At 34.3% G+C, this 20648-nt stretch overlaps 1 long non-coding RNA gene across 2 annotated transcripts in view, besides 1 other annotated feature; it reads right to left on the bottom strand.

Annotated features, from left to right (window-relative positions):
• LINC02161 (long intergenic non-protein coding RNA 2161) overlaps window positions 1-20648 on the bottom strand; it is a 213063-nt gene that overhangs the window by 88566 nt on the left and 103849 nt on the right. Inside the window, exon 1 of one of the 2 annotated variants that reach the window (XR_948557.3) lies at window positions 19646-19715. The exons of the other annotated variant lie outside the window; for it this stretch is intronic. This is a non-coding gene — a long non-coding RNA (long intergenic non-protein coding RNA 2161). Of the gene's footprint in view, window positions 1-19645; window positions 19716-20648 lie in introns of those variants that run through there. 2 annotated transcript variants of the gene reach the window in all.
• Window positions 2343-3293: an enhancer, noted in NCBI's record as "NANOG-H3K27ac-H3K4me1 hESC enhancer chr5:88998238-88999188 (GRCh37/hg19 assembly coordinates)". NCBI's record gives its function as "activates a minimal SCP1, AML or CMV promoter by ChIP-STARR-seq in naive H9 embryonic stem cells {active_cell/tissue: H9 hESC(naive)}" and the evidence as "EXISTENCE:reporter gene assay evidence [ECO:0000049][PMID:30033119]".

The following is a 20648-nucleotide window of genomic DNA, read 5'->3' as shown; positions in this document are numbered from 1 at the left end:
CCTGATATTCACTTGTTTCATCTGATGTTGTTATCATTCTCCTTAGATATGCAGATGTGTTGCTTTCCTTCAAGTCTTGTCCCTTCAGTCTTTCTGGAAAGACTGTTCCAGAGACCTACTCACATTGCTTGCTTGTTTGTTTCTCTGCTAGTTTATTGTTATACTATTTTCTGCCTCAGACCTCTAGTATTTGACAAATGGTATCATACTCTGCCGTTGAGAATCTTATGCCTTCAGTTCACTTTTTAATACAATCTGCTTAAAAAAAGCCACCACCACAACAAAACTGTGCAATGGATAGTATTTCAAAGATGATAATATTTGACATCAGCTTTCCTAACTGTTCTGACAATATTCATTGCAAAACTCTATTTCACAAAAGAACTCAAAAGGTCTCATGAAATGAACACTTGTCAGAAATGATTTTATAAACCTAAGTAATTAGCAACCTAAGGTGCTGTCTCATCAGATGGCATCACTTTGTGTCAACAGTCATTCTTTCTGATCATCAAAGCCAAATTAATCTTTTATTTGCCTCTAATATTGTGTAGATCTACAACATTATCTGACTATTTGGTAATGAACCCTCAGTACAGGGCTTTCTTCAGATTTCTGAATATTTCAAAAGGCAGAATCTTTTGTTTCTCTGGAAATATACCACACTTGTAAAGCAATTTATATCTCTGGAAAAGATTCCTGCAGGGATGCAAGCACTCAGCACCCATGATTTCAGGTAAGCCAAAACAGGTGTTTAGATCCTGAAATTTTCCCATAGTGCCTCAAAGATCCATTAAAGTGTAGATCTAATGCTGTATTTCTAATTTCTGGAACACAACCTCGCTTGTTTCTATATTCCAATTATCAGAAGACATTTGGGTAGTAGTTAATTGGTAAAAATCTGTCAGTGTGGAAAGTGAAGCAGTAAGGAGCTCAGTTTTCATCAATTCTGAATGGTGCAATGTCTCACACATAATATTTAAGTCAAAAGCTTAACCTCCCTTGTATATTTAATGCAAGATAAATTACCAACACAGCATTTTCAAGTATTTAGGTAACTCTATATTTGGACTGAATTTGACTAGCAGCAACATATTTCTTCTAGCAACATTAATTTAAAAATTAGCTTTGTACATGAGGCTGTTTCTACTCAAGTCACTAATAATAATTAACACACAGTATTTCACAGTATTTGATTTTATATTATTAGACAGTTTATTATAGGAATTGCATTTATGAGAGATTCAAAAATTGTAAATGACTCAACTCTAAAAAAATACTCTTCTGTAACAGATAATAAAATCACTCTTAAGAAAAGTTAATAACATCTTTCTTATTCATAAGACTTTGGACGTTTTCTTTATCATCTTGGAGAAAAACACAAAGAAAAGAAAAAGCATAGCTTTCTGGAAAAAAAGTGATGCTTCCTTGGCTCTTTAAACATAGAGCTAAGTACATGAGTTATTGAGGTGAAATAAGTTGCTTTCAACAGTTGTTAATATATCATTAATAATCATACATGCAATAAATAACAACATATGAGTTATTTCCTAAGAGATATATGACTGCAAATTGCAGTAACACATCACAGCATGTGTAAAGAATGCTCATTACTCTAGTGTGTACAGAAGCTGTTTTAACAACTGTATTCTTTATGGTGAAGCTCACCCTAATTAGCCTTGCAGATTCCTTAGGGAATGTGTGGAATGTTTGACATTGTGATGCTGGAGCTAAAGTGGGGGAGGAGTATATCATTTCTGCACCAAGAAAGCACCAGGCCACAAGCCTGGCTTTCTATTCAGTCACTTGTTTTAATGTATGCATTGTGGTGAAAATAAATAGGCTTTTCAAACAAGTAGATAATAAAGGTGTTTGGAATTAAATGACTAATGAAATCAACATTAAACACGTAAGCTAGACGGCAATGTGGACTAACAATTTTTTTTTCTCGATGGTGTCCCTTCCAATATAGGAGGCATGTAAACGAATTGCACGTCTATATGTGTTTGAACACCAAGATTCGTAGCCACAAATGTAAGAGGAACACAATTTGTAGTCTCTATTGTATTCGAAAGCTAAATGGACCACATATTTTTTAATATAAAAAGAAAAAAAACAAGGATGAAGGACACAAAAAAGCAGCACTTTTTTTTTCCTTTCAATGGAACATTATATGTGGATTCTGCTGCTCTGTTAGCTTATAGCTTGTTACTAAATCAGACCTTTCCTGCAGTGAAAAAAATTGCATCTTTTCGTTGTAATCCTTGACAGCTTAAAGTTTAATGGAGGCAGTTTTTTTTTTAAAGGTATATAATGGGTTGACACCATGGAAGGCTGCTGAGAGCTCACAAACTCAGAAATAGCATGAAATGCAATAAGAACAAGTTCTTGCTGATTTTTTTTAAATCATAATTTTTCTATTCCTGATAGAGAAAGCAAGAAAAAGAAGGAGTTAGCTTTTTGTTTTCTTCAAGTAAGTTGTTTGTCTCATCCCAATGAAGTGATGTTCTTCTATTCTGGAATAGAGTCAAATGGGGATTTGTTCCAAAGGTAAGAATAAGGTGATATAGCCATTAATAGGGAGAAAATAGATATCTACCTAAAAATAACAGTATGGCCAGGCGGGGTGGCTCATGCCTGTAATCTCAGTACTTTGGGAGGCCGAGGCGGCTGGATCACGAGGTCAGAAGTTCGAGACCAGCCTGACAAACATGGTGACACCCCATTTCTACTAAAAATACAAAAAATTAGCCAGGTGTGGTGGCAGGCGCCTGTAATCCCAGCTACTTGGGAGGCTGAGGCAGGAGAATTGCTTGAACCCAAGACGGGGAGGTTGCAGTGAGCCGAGATCATGGCACTGCACTCCAGCCCGGGCAACAGAGTGAGACTCTGTCTTAAAAAAAGAAAAAAAAAAAAGTAACAGTATGCGGAACACAAGTTGCCAAGATGAGAACTCAATGAAAGGAAGAAATTTCTCCTCTTTTGGAGGGAAGAAGCAGACAAGAGTAAACCATAACTGGCTGAGACTATCACCTTATTTGACACCCAGAGGTCATGCTTAGTTATACCTCAATCTAAAGATTCTGGGATACGATCTCCAGATAACACATGTTCAGGAGTGTTGCTGAGGAGTGTTCAAAGACTATAAGATTTAAAACAACCTTGACAGTTGGCATCAAGATTCCTCTTGGGGAGAGATAAAACTTTGGCTTATCTTGATTTGTTTTTTCTTAGTTTATGGTAATACTTTGATAAATGTTTTCAAATGGTAATGTAGCCTGAGGTTTTAAGTCAAACTTTAAGGGAATGTGATTAATAGAGCTAAAAAACACAAAAAGATGGCCTATCTACCATACTAATAAGTGAATAGGAATATGAGGGGCTGAAAAAAAAGGATCATAGAGGAAGGAAAGGAGAAAGAGAATGGTTCAAAAATACAACATGCCACAAAACTTCTCTTCTTTTACTAACAAAGCTATTTACTATTTAGTTTTCTTTGGATGGTTACAATACAAAGACTGCTTCTCTACAACATTCAGTAAAATCTGCCACATTCACACAAAACACCTTGCATAGGTAGTATTTTATGGAAAATAAAGAAAGGGAAAAATGGAAGTGATCCTTCAACAAATTGACATGAAACAAAGAGAAGGAAACATCCATGGAGGTGAAGGATAATAGCATAGAGTATTAAGCAAGCAATAACTGAAGTGAGAAGTAGCTAGGAAGGTAGAGAAATATCCAGGGATGGGAAGGGATTGAGCCAATGCCTAGGTGATAGACATCATCAATACTCTCTGTTCTATGCCTACATACTGGCTCATGTCTGTAATCCCAGCACTTTGGGAGGCTGAGGCAGGAGGATCTCTTGAGTTCAGGAGTGGAGAAGAGCCTGGACAACATGGCAAGACATCGTCTCTACCCAAAATTTTTTTGAAAAATTAGCCAGGTGTGCTGGTGCATGCCTCTAATCCCAGCTACTGGGGAGGCTGAGGTGGGAGGATCATTTGAGCCTAGGAGATTCGGGTGGCAATGAACTATGATCACACCACTGCACTCCATCCTGGGTGACAGAGTGAGACCCTGTCTCTCAAAAAAAAAAAAAAGTTTCATCCACAATAAACACAAATCCCTCATAGGTCAGATTTTCTTGAGGAGACCAGATTTACATGGTCTATTTTCTTCCTAAGCCAGGATCATAGAGAAAATGGCCTTGAAGAATAATGCAGGTAGGTGGTGATATTCTGTGATTGGTAGTGGATGAATTCTAATGGAGTTTCTTCTCTGACTATATACCCAGGACCATAATGTGCTCATGTCCAGTTGAAAATTAAACTTGGCTCATTCAAACTTGGGGCCAGATTCTCAGCATTTGAGTATTTACAATGAGACAATTATTTGTAACCACAAAGGCACCATATAGATATACTTAATTACTTTTAATTAGGAACCCATTCAACCAGAAGAAATTTGTTTTCGGCGTGCTTACTTTACACTTCATTTGGAGAAAAGTAATTACTTTCTTCTGAAAGTCTTTTACATTGTTCCATTGTACTTTTTTAGATCTTTTTCAGGATCCCATTAAACTTCAGTGCACATGTGAGTCCCTATGTGGCAGGGAAATTCATGGCCATGAAATTCTGATAATATTAATTGATTTTTAATGTTGGTTTTGAGAACAAATTATAATGTTAGCTCTCAGGTTAAGTGATTGCTCCCTACAGAACAGTTTGGATTTGGCTCAATTGTTGAAATAAGCAGATTTAAAATATTATTCATTATATAATTTATTTTAAAAATAAGCTAGAAAAGGCAAATGGGAAAACTAAAATTTGTAATTGAAGGTAATCTTTGAATGTATCATCAGAAAAATTTCTAATAGTATACTTCCAGTATTTTTAAAGAATTGTAATAAATTTACTTAATAAATTATTACTAAAACTTATTGTGAAACAAACAGATCGTAGATACATAGTAGGTACCTATGGTTGTAGGTCTTTATTACCAAAAATTTGAATTTTTGAATCAAAATCATGTTTTTACTATATGTTTTCAAAGTACCTATGATGAAGTCTGGATGTGTTAAAGTTTGGGAATACCCTCCCATGTATATTTTTAAAATGTATCGGTAGATGTAAGTCAAGTGCTAAACTAAATTTTGATTTTGGATTTATGCTATTCAATGCTTTTCTGCATCTGCATTGAAGGCTGAAATTGTGCACTTAAAAATATAGCTCAGTATATCTTAAAATAATCATGAAATGAAAAAATTTTGAGAGATCCCTGGACTTCTAATTTATGATATGCAAATATAAATTGATAGATCACAAAAATGTATTGAGCACCTACAGAGTTTGAAGTAGTATTTAGTATTGAGTATGATAGAATGTTTAAAAAGGCATGGATTTCTAAGTTAAATAATTTATAGTCCCATAGAATAAATCACACAATTAAGTGTATTGTACTATAAGGCCGGAGGTAAGAGAATTAAGAGAGTAGTATATCAGGCAAGAAAGATTACTTCCAGTTCCTGTGAAGACTTCCTACAGTTGTGCTAGACCCTAAAAGATACACTTTGGCTGTGGAGAGAGGTGATAAAAGGCTTTAGTGGTATCTAGAGCAATATAGAGAAAGGCAAGCAGGTACAAATCATGGTGAATCTATAGGGAAAAGTAGGTCCTTCAAGTGCGTGAGGATGTTGAACCCTTGATGGGAAGTAATGGGCAACAACATAAGGATAATGTGTCAAGGGACAAGTGCTCAGGTGATAAATTTCAGCCATATTTGGTAGGAAATAGAGCTCCTGCAAGTTTATAAGGAGAGGAATCATTGTCCAAGTCATACCTTAGAAAGATTAATTTGGAAGTTGTGTGTAGGAAGTGGACATGAGGTGGTTTAGTTATGAAGGATTTTTTTTGTTGCACAACTAGTGGCAAAGATCCTATTCCACTTTTGTGTAATTTATTTTCATGTGATTACTTATATAGCTGTATTAGTCTATTCTCATACTGCTATGCAGAAATACCTGAGACTGGATAATTTAGAAAGAAGAGGCTTAATTTCCTTGTGGTTCTGCAGGCTGCACAGGAAGTATAGTGGCTTCTGCTTCTGGGGAGGCCTCAGGAAACTTACAGTCATAGCAGAACGTGAAGGGAAAACAGGCACATCTTACATGGCCAGAGCAGGAGGAAGAGAGGTGTGTAGGGGGGTGCCACACATTTTTAAACAACAAAATCTCATGAGAGCTCACTATCACATGGACAGTACCAAGGGGGAAATCTGCCCCGATGATTCAATCACCTCCCACCAGGCTCCACTCCAACACTCCAACACTGGTGATACAATTCAACAGGAGATTGGGGCAGGGACACAGATCCAAACTGTATCAATAGTCAAGAACTAATGTTTATTCAACCAATTTGTTACTTTTAAAAAGCACTCCCTTTTTGGTATGGGTTGCCTTCCACCAGCATGAAAACAACTGATTCGAAAGCAAGCCCCTTAAAAAAAAACTTGTTAGTACTATTTAAAGCATATCATATTTAGTGAGAGATAATAGACATGATTAAAATAAGACACTGAAGCCCCCATTTCTTGGGGGTGTGCAAGTATCAGTGATTGTGCTAAGCACATTGTGTGAATTACCATATTTACTCTTCAAAACCACCTCTGAGACAAACATGTTATTATTTCGATTTTGTGGATTTGAAATTCCAAGGTTTAGAGAGGGAAGGTAAGAGAGACCAGATTACAACTCAAAGTAGCATAGTAATAGAAATCCATGGGTATATACTAAATAGGAACCACTAATGAAATAATTAATATAGGCAAAATAATTTAAATGCAAGATGCAGGTAACAATTAATACCAATGATTTATTGAGCACCAGCTCTGCCAGTGTGGTAACTGGGCTGCAGATGTCATCTCCAGACTGTTAAATTAGACTTGAATATCATCATCACATCTGCAATATTACCATGAATAAAAAAACATAGGGCTGTTTTCAGGGGGAAATGGATAAGTAGGAAGTCTTCCACTTGGTGTTGCTTTAGTCGGGCCTTTAGTATGTTTTATTTTGAGGGCAAAATAGAAGTGGAGGATTGTGAATTTGGAGAGGGTTTTCAGAAGAGGAATCAAATGATGAAGATGGCAGGAAATATTTCCTATGAGAAGCAATAGGACTGTGAGTCAGCATTAATGTAGTCAAGTGCTGCTGTTATTACTTGTTGACTGTGTGACTGTAGGCACATTATTTATCCCTTTAAATTTCAATTTTACATCTGTAAAAGGAGGACACTCTTAGAGGTCTCTCAGATTAAATGTAAAAGTTAATGAAGGATGAGTATTGCCCTAGGCATAATTGAGGTGGGAAGGGGTTTTGTTCTTGTTGAGGGAATGACCTGTAAAAGAAATCAGAGGAAAGGGCAGATATGGAGCATTCAGGGAGCTGCAAGTACTGCAGGAGCGAGTAGTGCATGTTAGAGAGGGTTGAGAAGTGAAGATGAAGAGTTAGCACGTAAGGAAGATATTAGGAGAGGCCATATGAAATAGTGGCTGTAAGAATGTGCTCAGGAACCACATTTTCTAGATTCAAATTCTCCTTCACTCTTTATTTGTTTAGTGATGTTGGGCAAGTTACTGAATATTTATTTAACTTCATTTCTGTATTTGTAAAATGGGTACAATAACATTACTACTTCACAGCACTAGTATGATGATTAAACAAATTAGTCCTGTTGAAAGAAGAGGCCATCAGGCCACATCTAAAAAAAAAAATGAAGTTATTGCTTGGTAATCAAAGAAGAATGAGTTTTATAAAATATAGTCTCCCTGAGCAAATAATGAGGGCTTCCAGGAAGTATGGATCTCAGAGATTGGCAAATTTACAGAAGCTAGAGTGTTTGGGATGAGTGTTAGCCATGGAAGGGTGAATACTGCAGTGTGGCTTTTGATGCTTGGTTGATTCTTGGAAACATGGTCACTGAAATGACGTGGCTATATTTATTGCTTTTCATTAGCATTAGCATGGTTACTGATGTAAAATTGACAGGTTAGGATGGACTTAAAACTGACTCTAGTGGATACTTGTTATTATGACTAAAGTGCAATTAGCCTTCTTTCTTGAATATAGAAGCATTTTATACTGTACTCATTTTAAGTACTTAGAGGAGTGGCTTCACATAAATGTTAATTATTATTAATATTTCTCTTTATTATTAGACTGGATTGAGAACTTTTTTCATATAATTATTTTAAAAATTGTTTTATTCTTAAAGCAATTGATATTATCTACTAAAAAATTTTTAGTAGTGAAATGACATGTTTACATTGTCTTTAGAAAAATACTTCTAGCAATGTGAAGTTCAATGAGAAAGATATACACATAAATATTGTATTTTGTTTCTCTTGGTTTATGTGTATCAGGAGTGGTGTATTTTCCTTTGAGTCATAGTGGTAAAAAATGAGTAAAAGGAAAAGAAATAAAAGTTACTTTATATAGCCTTGTGGCAAAAACACCTCCCTCATCGATTTTTACCAATAAAAATAACTCGTTTTAGAAGTTCCAAGGGATTTTCACATTCAAGGAGTAAAAGGGAAATCAACTTAATGTTCTAGTCTAAATTAAATGAAAATTCATCATACAAATTATTGTTGAATTTGAAACAGGTGTTTCCCTCCTACTTAGGAAGGTAAGAAAAGAGAAAATTGCCACAGATTTGTTATTGATGTAAAGTGTTCTTAAAGTCAGGTAAAAGTTAATTCTCAGAGATATCCTTCTAAATTTTTATCTGAGGATGTTCTCTTTAATAAAGAGAATTTATAGAACATCAGAAGGAAAGAAACAACAAAGAAATAGATGTGTCATGTATAACATTAGAGTCTGCAAAATGATTGGGGAAATAATCAAGGAACTGAGATGCTACTGGCTCCAAAAAGAAAAAATCTTGATGTATTAGTTGGTGCCACCCAAATAATGATGTCTCTATTGTCTGTGCAATTTCGGAAATACTCAGTTCCACCCTGAAAAGAAATACAGAGATTGAAAATCCAGGACAAGTGAGGGGAGATTTCTCAGAAGCTCTCGTTCCGCTGCTTGAGAGGGGGAGCAATGAAAGAAAAATATTACACATGAATCCTTTGGTAGGAATCTGTCTTCACAAAACTCAGCTGTTTTCATACAACCGTAAGAACACTCATAAGGTTTGAATAAAAGCAGACTTTCTTCTTTTATACTGACCTCACTTAGAAGAGATTCAAGGGATTAGAGTATTCTTAAAAATCTCACATTGACCCTTATAATAACACAGTTTGAACCATAATTCTCTACAAAACAATCCTTAGCATATAACTTTATTTGCTTGCTCTATTCCACTTCCGTAAGCATGAGGATGCATGGCATCCCCAGTGTTCTCATGATAGGGCAAAGAAAGCGCAATCTGAGGAGAAGCATGGCATTGAAATGAAACACTTAAATTCCAAGTCTGACTGCAAAAACTCATGCTGGGTTCAGTAAATGAAGTTTTCAAAAGTCAAATAAATAGTGTAGTTGCTGCATAATTTCTCCCTTCCCTACACATATCATGCTTATTTACATTCATGTGCCCATTCTAAGTCCACCCTGATGTAAGTCCTAACAAAAAGCAACCATGACCTAGCTGTCTGCCAAGGAAAATAAAATTTAAATGGAATTACTGGAGTATTGGTTTGGTGTATTTTTATATTGAAACATGATAAAATTTGGGCTGGCACTGTACCTTTGAACACTAGCAATATACTCCAATAGACTCCTATGGGTCTATATTGTGGGAACAAATAGTATTGAAACTAAGAAATTATAGGTGCCTTGTTTTGAATCTTCTATAACCAACACCTTTTCATTGGGTCTAAGACAGATCTATTATTTCAAAAATTCTACTTGAGAAGATGAGTAATTTTAACATTCAGCAATGTGCTAAATGCACTGTTTGACATATAGTGAAACAGTCAATAAATATTACAGTAGCATAGCATCAGTGTAGGCAAGAGGTTAAGACAAAAGATAGAATTGAAAGTCTTTAATATGCCTCCAGGACTGACCCCTACTTATCTCTCCAGCATCCTGCATTACCAACCTCTCTCATTCAAACTTGAAATTCCAGCCATAGCGAATACTTTCCATTCCCAGAAAGAGTCTATTCAGAAGACACCCTCTCTTCTTCCCCTAGTTATCTTCTGTGCATTCCATTCATTCTCAAATTAGTTACCTTGACAAATCATTCCTGATGCACTTGCCACCATCTCCCAAAGTTACATGGCTCTCCAGTAGATTATGATGACCCTATAATTTTCTTATCATAAAGTTTATTTCACAGTTAACAGTTTCCATATTACATAACTATTTTCCCCATGAGGCCATAACCCTCTGAATAACAGGAACACTAACCTTCTCATTCACCCCTGCATGATAGGCTTTAGTCACGTGCCTGGCACACAGTAGGTACCCTAAATATTTGTGGATTGAATAAAGGCTTATACTTGAACCATATGTAAGTTGATCTAGTGTTTTACAAATGGAATCTCTGAGTTAACTATTGCCTCAATACCATGTCTATAGGTCACTTGAGTTTTGGCATTGTTTTTAGTACAATAGTTCAAGAAGACCGAGAGTGAAGAGGTTCCATTTTCCTTCTGATAATCCCAATTGGATTATTTCAGGTAAATCCTGAGGCAGCCAACTGTTTATAGTATATTCATTTTGATGTTAGATTCCCAGTTTGTCAAACTTCTTTATAATATTATTCATCATTACAACTGTAAGTTACAACTATACCTCTGGTGAAACTGTGTCCCCTGAAACCATGATCACAAACCATGAGACAGTTTTATAACCCATATTGAAATATCAGACTTGTTATTTCATGATCAGAGTAATATGAGTATTAGCACTATTTCCATCATGAGACTTTTACAGAGATCTCATATAATGAAGTTCCAAAATATCTTTCATAGGAACTAGTAAAAAAAGTTTGGTTTTCTATGATGTCTAGTCAATTAAATCTGTTAACTCACTTCATAAGTCCTATGTCACTCAGTAATGTCTCTGTACCTGGATAAAGTTTGGAAACCATAGCTTGAGACCAAAGTTTATACTTTATTTCAATTTGAGGAAATATGACCTTGTCTGGAAATACATAATTTTCAAAAGTACAAATATGGAATTGCTTTATTCACTGATATTCTGGAAGGAATAATGATTTTTTTAAAGCATGTGGGTTTTTTTTAAGTAGATGATAATGAATGTAAATCATTCTACAAAACAATGTGAGCTTATTTTCACATTTGTTTGGGATTAAACCGCATCCATAAACTGCTTCCACATGTATGCTAATTAACTCTGCAGCAGAACCAACTTCCCTACTTGGAGGATTAGAGACAAAAGCTTTATGAAATCCTACCTTTCCAGTTTAACGTTTATTAGCATATTTCTGGTCACCAAGGTTCAGTTATGAGTAAATCTACTTTGGGATTTCTTTTGGCTCAGGGCATTGGTAATAGAGATGGAATCTTTCCCTCATAGATGAAAAGATTGAATACAAACCAGCCTGATGTAGACCTATTGTTATTATTATTTGATAGCTGTCAGTAGCGGATATAAAATGAATTAATGGTTTTCTAGCAAAAAAATCTTAAGATTGATAAAAGTCACTTTTGCATCCAGGCAGCAGTGCTAGCAACTCCAGAATGCCAGAGATTGAGTGGGAATTTAACAACATACACAACCCTAGGACTGGAAATTTTAGGTCAGACATTAGCAATATCATTCTGATGACTTCAGGAGGTTGTAATGTGCCTAAGGTCCATCTGGAAGGACCTTTGTATTTGATGCTTATTAGCTGAAAAAGAGTAAAATGAAAATAACGGTGCTTTTTGTGAGTGTGTGTATGTGTGTGTATAAGAGAGATATATAGAGACCATAATTTAAATATAAGTACATTACCACAAATAATCAGAGAAATTGATTCTAATATTTATTATAAGAATGTTCTTCATTTGCTCATTATATTAGCACTTTGTTTCATTTTGTTTTGGTGTAGATACGTAAATAAAAATTTTAAGAATTTCAAGAGTACCCATTTCTACATTGATTGAAATATAAGTCAAATGCCTCTAAATAGGAGTTTCTTCCATAGTTTCCATATTTGTATAATTTTTATGATGATTTAGGTAATAGTTATGAGAAAATAATGACAGTGATAATACTAATTTATGCCTTTCAGGTTTCTCAGGCTAACATAAAATCTCAGAACTCTCATTGTTTCATTCTTTCATTTATACTTGCTGAATAAACATATAATGTTCTGAACAACAACTCTGCACCAGATACCATGCAAGTACTGGTTATACACAGGCATATGCATAAATAAAAGGGATGCGTTACTTTATCTTACAGAGCTTTCAGCATTATATATATATATTTTTTTCTTTCCATATATATGATGTGTGTGTGTAATTAAAAATTGTGAACAATTTTGTGAAAGATATTTAAAAGGGTCTATGAAAGATAATTAAGAGAGATTTACCTGATTTAGAGTAGACCAGGCAAGGCCTCTTTGAGCATTTGCACCATTGAGCTTGATTGCTTCACTATGTTAATAACATTTGCTTGGCTTAAATGAATATCTAGCCAATAAGAGGGAATAATGTTTTGTCTTCAAATGTGCACACTCTGAGTCGCTTTGGAGTGTTTCTTTCTGCAATATATTGGTCATTGGCTCCTAAAATAATTGAATCAGAGAATCCTCTGAGTGAAACAAATGAAGAAGACTAGCTGTCTAGAGCAACTAGTTTTTCATGTTGCCCCGCCCGCCCCTTACCCCAGCCATCAAACATCCCCTATATAAACACACTCTCATTAGCTTCCTCATGCTCATTAGAGACATAGAAATATTGTGAGATAATCTTCCAGTTAACCTACTAGAGCCACAGAATAATTTTAAAATGAAATTTAAGATCCAAATATATACTTCCAAGCTTCCTTTTTGTTTTGCTAAATTGATGTTAATGAGAGAAATGAGTTAATATTAGACTAGTTGATATTCTGTTCCAGTACACAATTATTCTAAAAATTATTTCTTCTTTGTGTACAAAGGAAACTACTACTTGTACATTAGAATATTTCATTGTGTCAATTATACATTTTGAAGGCAAAAAATAAATTGGAGAATTGAGCATTTATGGATTGGAATAGCCTAAAGGAAAATGATTTTTTATTTTAACTCATTTTAACTAAAATTTCTTTCCTTTTTTTTTCTTTTGTGGTGTTAAAAGAATCTTCCAGGCCAAGCGTGGTGGCTCACACCTGTAATCCCAGCACTTTGGGAGGCCAAGGTGGGTGGATCACCTGAGGTCAGGAGTTTGAGACAAGCCTTCAACAAGGCCAACATGTTGAAGCCCTGTCTCTGCTAAAAATACAATAATTAGCCAGGTGTGGTGGTGGACACCTGTAATCCCAGCTACTTGGGAGGTTGAGACAGGAGAATTGCTTGAACCCAGGAGGTGGAGGTTGCAGTGAGCCGAGATCATGCCACTGCACTCCAGCCTGGGCAACAGAGTTGGACTCTGTCAGAAACAAAAAGAAGGAAAGAAGGAAAGAAGGAAGGAAAGAAGGAAGGAAGGAAGGAGGGAGGGAGGGAGGGAAGGAAGGAAGGAAGGAAGGAAGGCAGGAGGGAAGGAAGGAAGGGAGGGAAAGAAGGAGAAAGAGGGAAAGAAGGAAAGAAGCAAGCAAGCAAACAAGCAAGAAAGAGAAAGAAAGAAAGAAAAAGAAAGAAAGACAGGAAGGAAGGAAATAATCTTCAAATTATAGCTTCATCAGTTTGCTGGGCTATTTCTTGTCTTTACACTGCAGAAAATTGGGAAGTTAGTATCTACAATATTGCTGTGTTTCGATATTTTGGATTCAGCTGAATTTAATTCTTGTGTGTTTCTCCATTATGCTAAATTATATATACCTATAAAACCAATATGATAAAAGAAAAAAATCTGAGTCATAATTGCTATCATCCACACCAGAAAGAAAAGACATTTATCTTATCTGATCATAGGATCAACTGAAATAGGTCTGAAAGGGTCTGAAGCTGCTGACAAAACCACAACACTGGTCCCAATTAACAATACCCATTTTTAATTAACAGTCGCTGACTTTTTGCCATTGAAATATTCATGCTCTAGGTGTGAAATGGCAACCCCCATTTGTCATATCTGTCAAAATTAATTTGAAATCCCATGGTCTTCCTTCCACATAGTAAAATTGAATAACTAGAACATACTTCCTACCTACCAAAGTTTAGTTCCAGGACAAGGACCAGGAAACTAGAACCTAGAAAACTGGTTGGGTCAGCTTTAATCATACAACTCATATCAATTATTTTCATAACATTTCTAATGCTACAAACTATACCAAGACTTATTCCATATTTTGGGGGAGGGGATGAGAAGCATTTGGAAGTTCTTTTCCTTAATTCCTTTTCATTTTTTTCGTTCAAAAAATTGTATTAAGCACTAACACGTGTTAAACACTAACCTTGGAATATCTTCTCAGATTATATTTAATCTTGAGAACACAAATACGAACAAGACAACGTGTTCTGGATGACATCACAATCTAATAAACAAGAGATAAACTTCCAAATTGCTCTATATGTAAATGTTAGGAATGAGTGTATGATTTCTATGAAAATTTTAAAGTATAGCACCATCAGTGATAGCATGGTTGTGAAGGAAGTTAAAATAAGAATAAAGAGAAAGCATGTTGCCTAAACCTGTGTAAGACTTTTTGCAAATGGGTCTCTTATACATAAAAAATAGGTCTCTTATACATAAAAAATGGGTTTCTTATACATAAAAACCCTTGTTTGGGTTCAGTACTAATGTTAGAATTGGAATCACTTATGTGTATTTATTGAGCATCTAATACAAAGGATTTTTTTTTTTTGCAAATAAACAGGATGTTCTAATTGCTTCATTTGATCTTTATAATCTCATGAAGTATATGGTAATATATTTTATTACAGAAATGAGAAAATTAACTCAAAGATCTAGATGACCATCTTAAAGTTATAGAGTTGAAAGTGGTAGAGCCAGTGTTAGAATGATCAATTGACACATTCATTTATGCATTCATTGGTTGAGTGATCACTCTATGCTCTGAGGAAGTGGGGATTGAAACTATAGCAATGAATAAAGCAAATGCTCTGATCACAAAGCATTTACTTTTAGCAGAGGTGAGAGATACATTACCTAAGAAATCATGATAAAGAGGAAAAAATGCAGTAAGCACATATTATATAGCTGGGTAGCACGGATGAAAGAATGAGGTTTATATTCTTTCTGTTAATTTTGGGAATAAATGCCATTTTCTTATGGATTTTATGACTTTTCTTTGCTTGCTTTCTTTGTCCATTCCCTGTAAAACACAGTTGTCCTTAGCCAAGAAGATCTAAAAGCATTGCAGATTTCCAGTGCTCAAGTATCTTATACTCTCATTAAAGAACACAACATCACTCTTGAAGTGACAGAAAAGCTGTGGAATTTTCAAGGTTGTAATCACTGCCTAGGTCTCCAGTTAAACTAAAAGGAGAATAAAAAGTGGTGTAAGGAAGCTGTCTCAATCATCTACCACTGGGGAATTTATTATTACTATAAGGAGAATTAAACTGAGTGTATTAAGGGTAAAAGCAAACTGAAGGAGGTTAAATTCAACAAAAGTTACTTGGAAATATACTGGGTTGTTTAAAGAAATATGTTTCTGGTGGGCAGGAAGATAAAAATAAAATCCTGCAAGATTTAGTTGAGATTAGAGCTACTGTTATCCAAACTCCGACAGAGCATAGATAGATACACAGAAACACTATCCACTTGGAAATTTGAGACTTTCTATGAAGAAGGCATATATTAATAATTAATTTAGCAATAACTTCCCCCCATTTTATATGTTAAGTGTTAATATATTAGGAAAAACAGGTAGGCAAATTAAGGAAAAAAATTACATGCATAATTTTTCTACTGCTAATTGGACACATGCCCATATTTTCGGGTAGTTACACTGTATATGACTTAGCACAAATTTTATCACGTTTTATTCCATTAATATGATCCAGGGTTTTATTTTTAACGGCTGCATACTGTTCATTAAATCTGTCTATCATACGTTGCTTAAGTAGTCTTTTTAAGGTACTTCCAATTTTTCACTATCATAAACAGTGTGTATTCTCATAGCCAAATATTCTGTACTTTCATGATTGTTTCCCTATGATAGATCAAAGAGTGGTAAATATTTTAACCCTTGTGATATGTATCGTCAATTCTTTCATAGAAAATATACTGATTTACCTTACTCTGGTATTGTGAAAAGTAATTTTCTCCAGATTCTGAGCCTCATTAGATGTCATTTCTAGCTTGAAAGATAATATTTATATTTCATTGTTTAAATTTGTATTTATTAATTATTGATGATGTGAAATTTTTTCCTGTGTTTCTTCTTTTGGTTAATTTTTGCTTTTCCCCACTTTGTCCAACTTGTTACTGGTGACTTTTTCTTGATTTGTGAGAAATATTTACATATTAATTATACTGATTCTTTGTCCTCATATATGTTACAAATAAGATAAGGTTTTTTATTTGGTATTTTTAATAGTGAAATGTGACAATCTTTTCCTTCATACTTTCTATTTTGGTGAGATCATACATAATTTTTTATTTCAAATAACAGAATTAACATTAATATTTATTCTAGTGTTTTTATTTAGATCTTTTATTCATCTAGAATTTTGATGTATGATATGATATAGGAATCAAATTTTATTTCCCAATGATTAAAAGTTTTCCAAATGCTCTTTAATTCTTTCTCCATGGATTTGGCATGTGATATTTATTATATCCTCAATTATTAAATATAATTTTATCTGTTTCTGGTTTTTCTCTTCTTTGCTGTTGATATAATTCTAATTTAATTTATTTAGTAATTTTTACATATGGCATAATGTTAATTTTTCAAATGTTTCACATCCTTCAAATATATCCTCCAGAAAATTATCTGAACAATTTTGTCAGATATGAAAAAACAAACTTTCTGATATATTCTTTAAGATTGCAATAAGGTCATAGATTAATTTGGGAAGCACTCATATCTTTATAATATTTCATCTTTTTATCTAGATACATGGTATCTCGTTATTCATTTAGTTGTTTTTTTTCTGTAATCCTTAGGAAATTATGAACCATTGGTTCAAGAAGAACATTTATTAAAGAAACCCTGGAATGTTATTATGAAAGACTACAAAAACTGCTATAAAATCCTTGAATGAATTACACAAAGATTAACTGAATTTTGAAAATGTTTATATCTGTTTTGGGGAGAAATAATTTGGTTGTTAAAATATAGTCAAGTTAACACTATCTAGAGACAACATTTATGGTAACTAAATGATTATTACCACTTGTAGTTTTTATCAACTTTTTGCCCTAAATAAATACGTTGTGCTGAAAAGTATGCTGTACAATTTTCTTATTAAACAACAACAACAAAAAAGAAAAACAAAAGTGCCAGAAATAAAAGCAACATTTGATACACAGAAAGACAAAATACCTCAAAATATCAACATGAGGAACCTAGGTGTATTAATTACATGTGTATGAGTGAACCAGGAACACCTGGTCACTATCAGAGGCCAGCATAATGTCAAGGAAGGTAACCAAATTAGATGCTCATCATGTGATATATACCATTAGATCAAAAATAAATCCCTGGAACAGTACACATGTATGAAGACAGGGTTCAGGAACCCAGGAATGAAGACCATGTTAGGAATGGGAGTACATAGAGAAATATTTCTGGATACATCCTAAGAAAATACGCAAGGGTAAATTCCAAGTGCTGGCATTTGAAAATGTTTTAATTGGTCCATAACGGAGAGAGGAAACTCATGAAAGTTAAAATAATAGTATTTTACAGTTTTTTCTTTTTTCATCAGCGACATTAACCTGAAATCTTATGTTCTTATCAGGGTTTGATATCATAAAGGGTATGTCTTTTTGCATCCATTTACTTTCAACTTTTCTGCATTTTTCTATGGAAGATATGTCTCATAAATAGCAGGGCTTTTCCCCAAATTTTTATTGTCTGATAACCCTTTTCCTTGTACTGGAATAGTCTATTCATATTTAATATGGGTATAATATATTTACCTTTAAGTCTATCATTTTACTTTATCTCTCTGTTTTTATCTCTTCTATATTGACTTTCTTCTCTTCACTCTTTTTTCTAGATAGATTGCATATTTTTGGTGCCATTTCCCCTTCATATCAGTTGGTTTTCATATACACAATCTTTTATTATTCTTCCATTATTTAAAGATTGATACAATCTAACATAAATTATGTTTATAATTTCCTAGACAGCATCAGGATTTTAGTATACTTTCATTTCATTTACACTTTTTCTGATTGAATGCTATTTTTTGTCCAATCAATTTATAAATATGTATTAAGCCCCAGAGACCGAACTATTATTTCAAATAGTCAGTATTAATTTAGATTTATCCACATCTTAAATCATTCAATTACTCTTTATTCTTCCTTTTTCTGGGTTTGCATCTGGAGTAATTTCACTTATGCTTCAAGAAAATATTTTTCCCTTTTTGTGCAGGACCAGTAGTATCATTTCCTCAAGGTTTGTTTTTGAATGTTTTCATTTTACCTTTATTGTTAAATAATAGAATTTTAGGTTAGCAGCTAGTATCTTTCAGAATCTTAAAGATATTATTTCTATGATCTGTTTCTTCATATCATGGTTTGGGTTCGATTACTTTGCCTCTTCACATGCCCGCATTTCTGGTTTTTTTTTTTTAACTTTATTACCAGTCATTATGACATAAATGTTAGCAATAAATTGCAATTTTGAACAGTATTATCTTTCTCTAGTAAAAAAAAAAAAATTCTGTTTGGTGTCTAGGAGCATTTGCAAACACAGATTACATTAATCCAGTCATAAATTGAGATGAGTTGAAACTCTCATCGTTACGAGATCTAACTTATTTCCTGTTTATCCTTCTTCCTGAATGTAGCCATTTGGCATACTGACAAAACACTGAGGCTTTTATCAGGGGTATCCTAGTGGCTCTAATGTCAATTTCCTCATCCCTGGCCCCACACCCAGTCCTGAAAGTCTGTTAAAAGTACTCCTCAGCATCTTGGTTTCTCAGCTCCTGCTTTCAAAATTAGCAGTATTCCTAAATAATAAGTGGCCCCAGAAGGACTTCCTTTTTCTCTTAGCTCTTGACCCACAATTTTTTCCAGCTCTGGTAATTCTCTGATGCCTACAAAGAGGATTATACACGGACACACACACACACACACACGCACAGAGCACACACCACACACACATGCACACACCACACACACACACACACACACACAAATTGAGAGAGAGAGAAAGTAAGAAAGCCAGTTAGTGGTTCTAGTTGTCATCAGTACAAGGATTGATTTGAATGACCTTGTCTGACCTTGTCTATCTTTCCTAGAGGTCATTTTATTCATTTTAAAAATTTCCCTAAGCTAGAAGGGTTGAAAATTGAATTTCAAATGGTAATGAATAGTGAGAATCTTGACTTACCTTAGTTTCTCACAAGATATTGCTAGCTTGTCACCATGGAACTAAAAATATAAACTGAAAACCAGGGAAAGAGACTGCAGCAATGAACTTACATGACAGTGTGGCTAGAAACTAACACCTATGTGTATAATAGCAACAAAACAATATCTGTAGAATTAAAAATAGAACTTGGCTGATGAATGGAGAAGATGCACATATGCTGGCGTTCTTCTGTTCTGCTGATGGATCAGATTTTATTGTATTTCATACCAAATGACTTTAGGTCAGGACTGTCTTCACCTAATTTAAAGTTCTTGATCCCCTGGGCCTTTACCTGGACAGCTTTCATCTGGGCTTAAGCACAGAAACAAATTTATGAGATAATATAAATTAATAGGTCATAAGTTTCTGTGTCAAGAGTAATAATTTAGTGGCTTTCATGTTTAGCATTACATAAACAACAATGACAATATCTAGCATTACTGAATTCAGTTGTATATTCAAGGAATAATCAGTACTGAACTTTAAACTACTCAGTATTTGCCTTTAGAATTTCTTACACTTTGAGTTTGCTGACAACAAATTCTTTTAGCTTTTGTTTGAAAATGTCTTCCTTTTGTCTTTATTTTTGAGGATACTTTCACTTGGTGTAGAAATCTAGTTGACAGCTATTTTTATTTTTATTTTTCTCTCATCACTTTAAAGTTGGCATTCTATTATCTTTTGGCTTGCATTGTTTCTGATGAGATGTCAACCATCTTTTTTGCTGTTGTTGTTCTCTTGTAAACGTAAATGTAAAGCGTCTTTTAACTCAGTTTATTTAATTAATTTATTTATTTTTGAGATGGAGTCTTGCTCTGTGACTCAGGTTGGAGTGCAATGGCACGATCTTGGCTCACTACAACCTCCACCTCCCGGGTTCAAGTGATTCCCCTGCCTCAGCTTCACAAGTAGCTGGGATTACAGGGCCCGCCACCATGACCAGCTAATTTTTGTATTTTTAGTAGAGATGGGGTTTCACCAT

Source organism: Homo sapiens, chromosome 5, assembly GCF_000001405.40.
Source record: "Homo sapiens chromosome 5, GRCh38.p14 Primary Assembly".
Lineage (NCBI taxonomy): Eukaryota > Metazoa > Chordata > Mammalia > Primates > Hominidae > Homo > Homo sapiens.
This window is presented reverse-complemented; position numbering and strand designations above follow the sequence as displayed.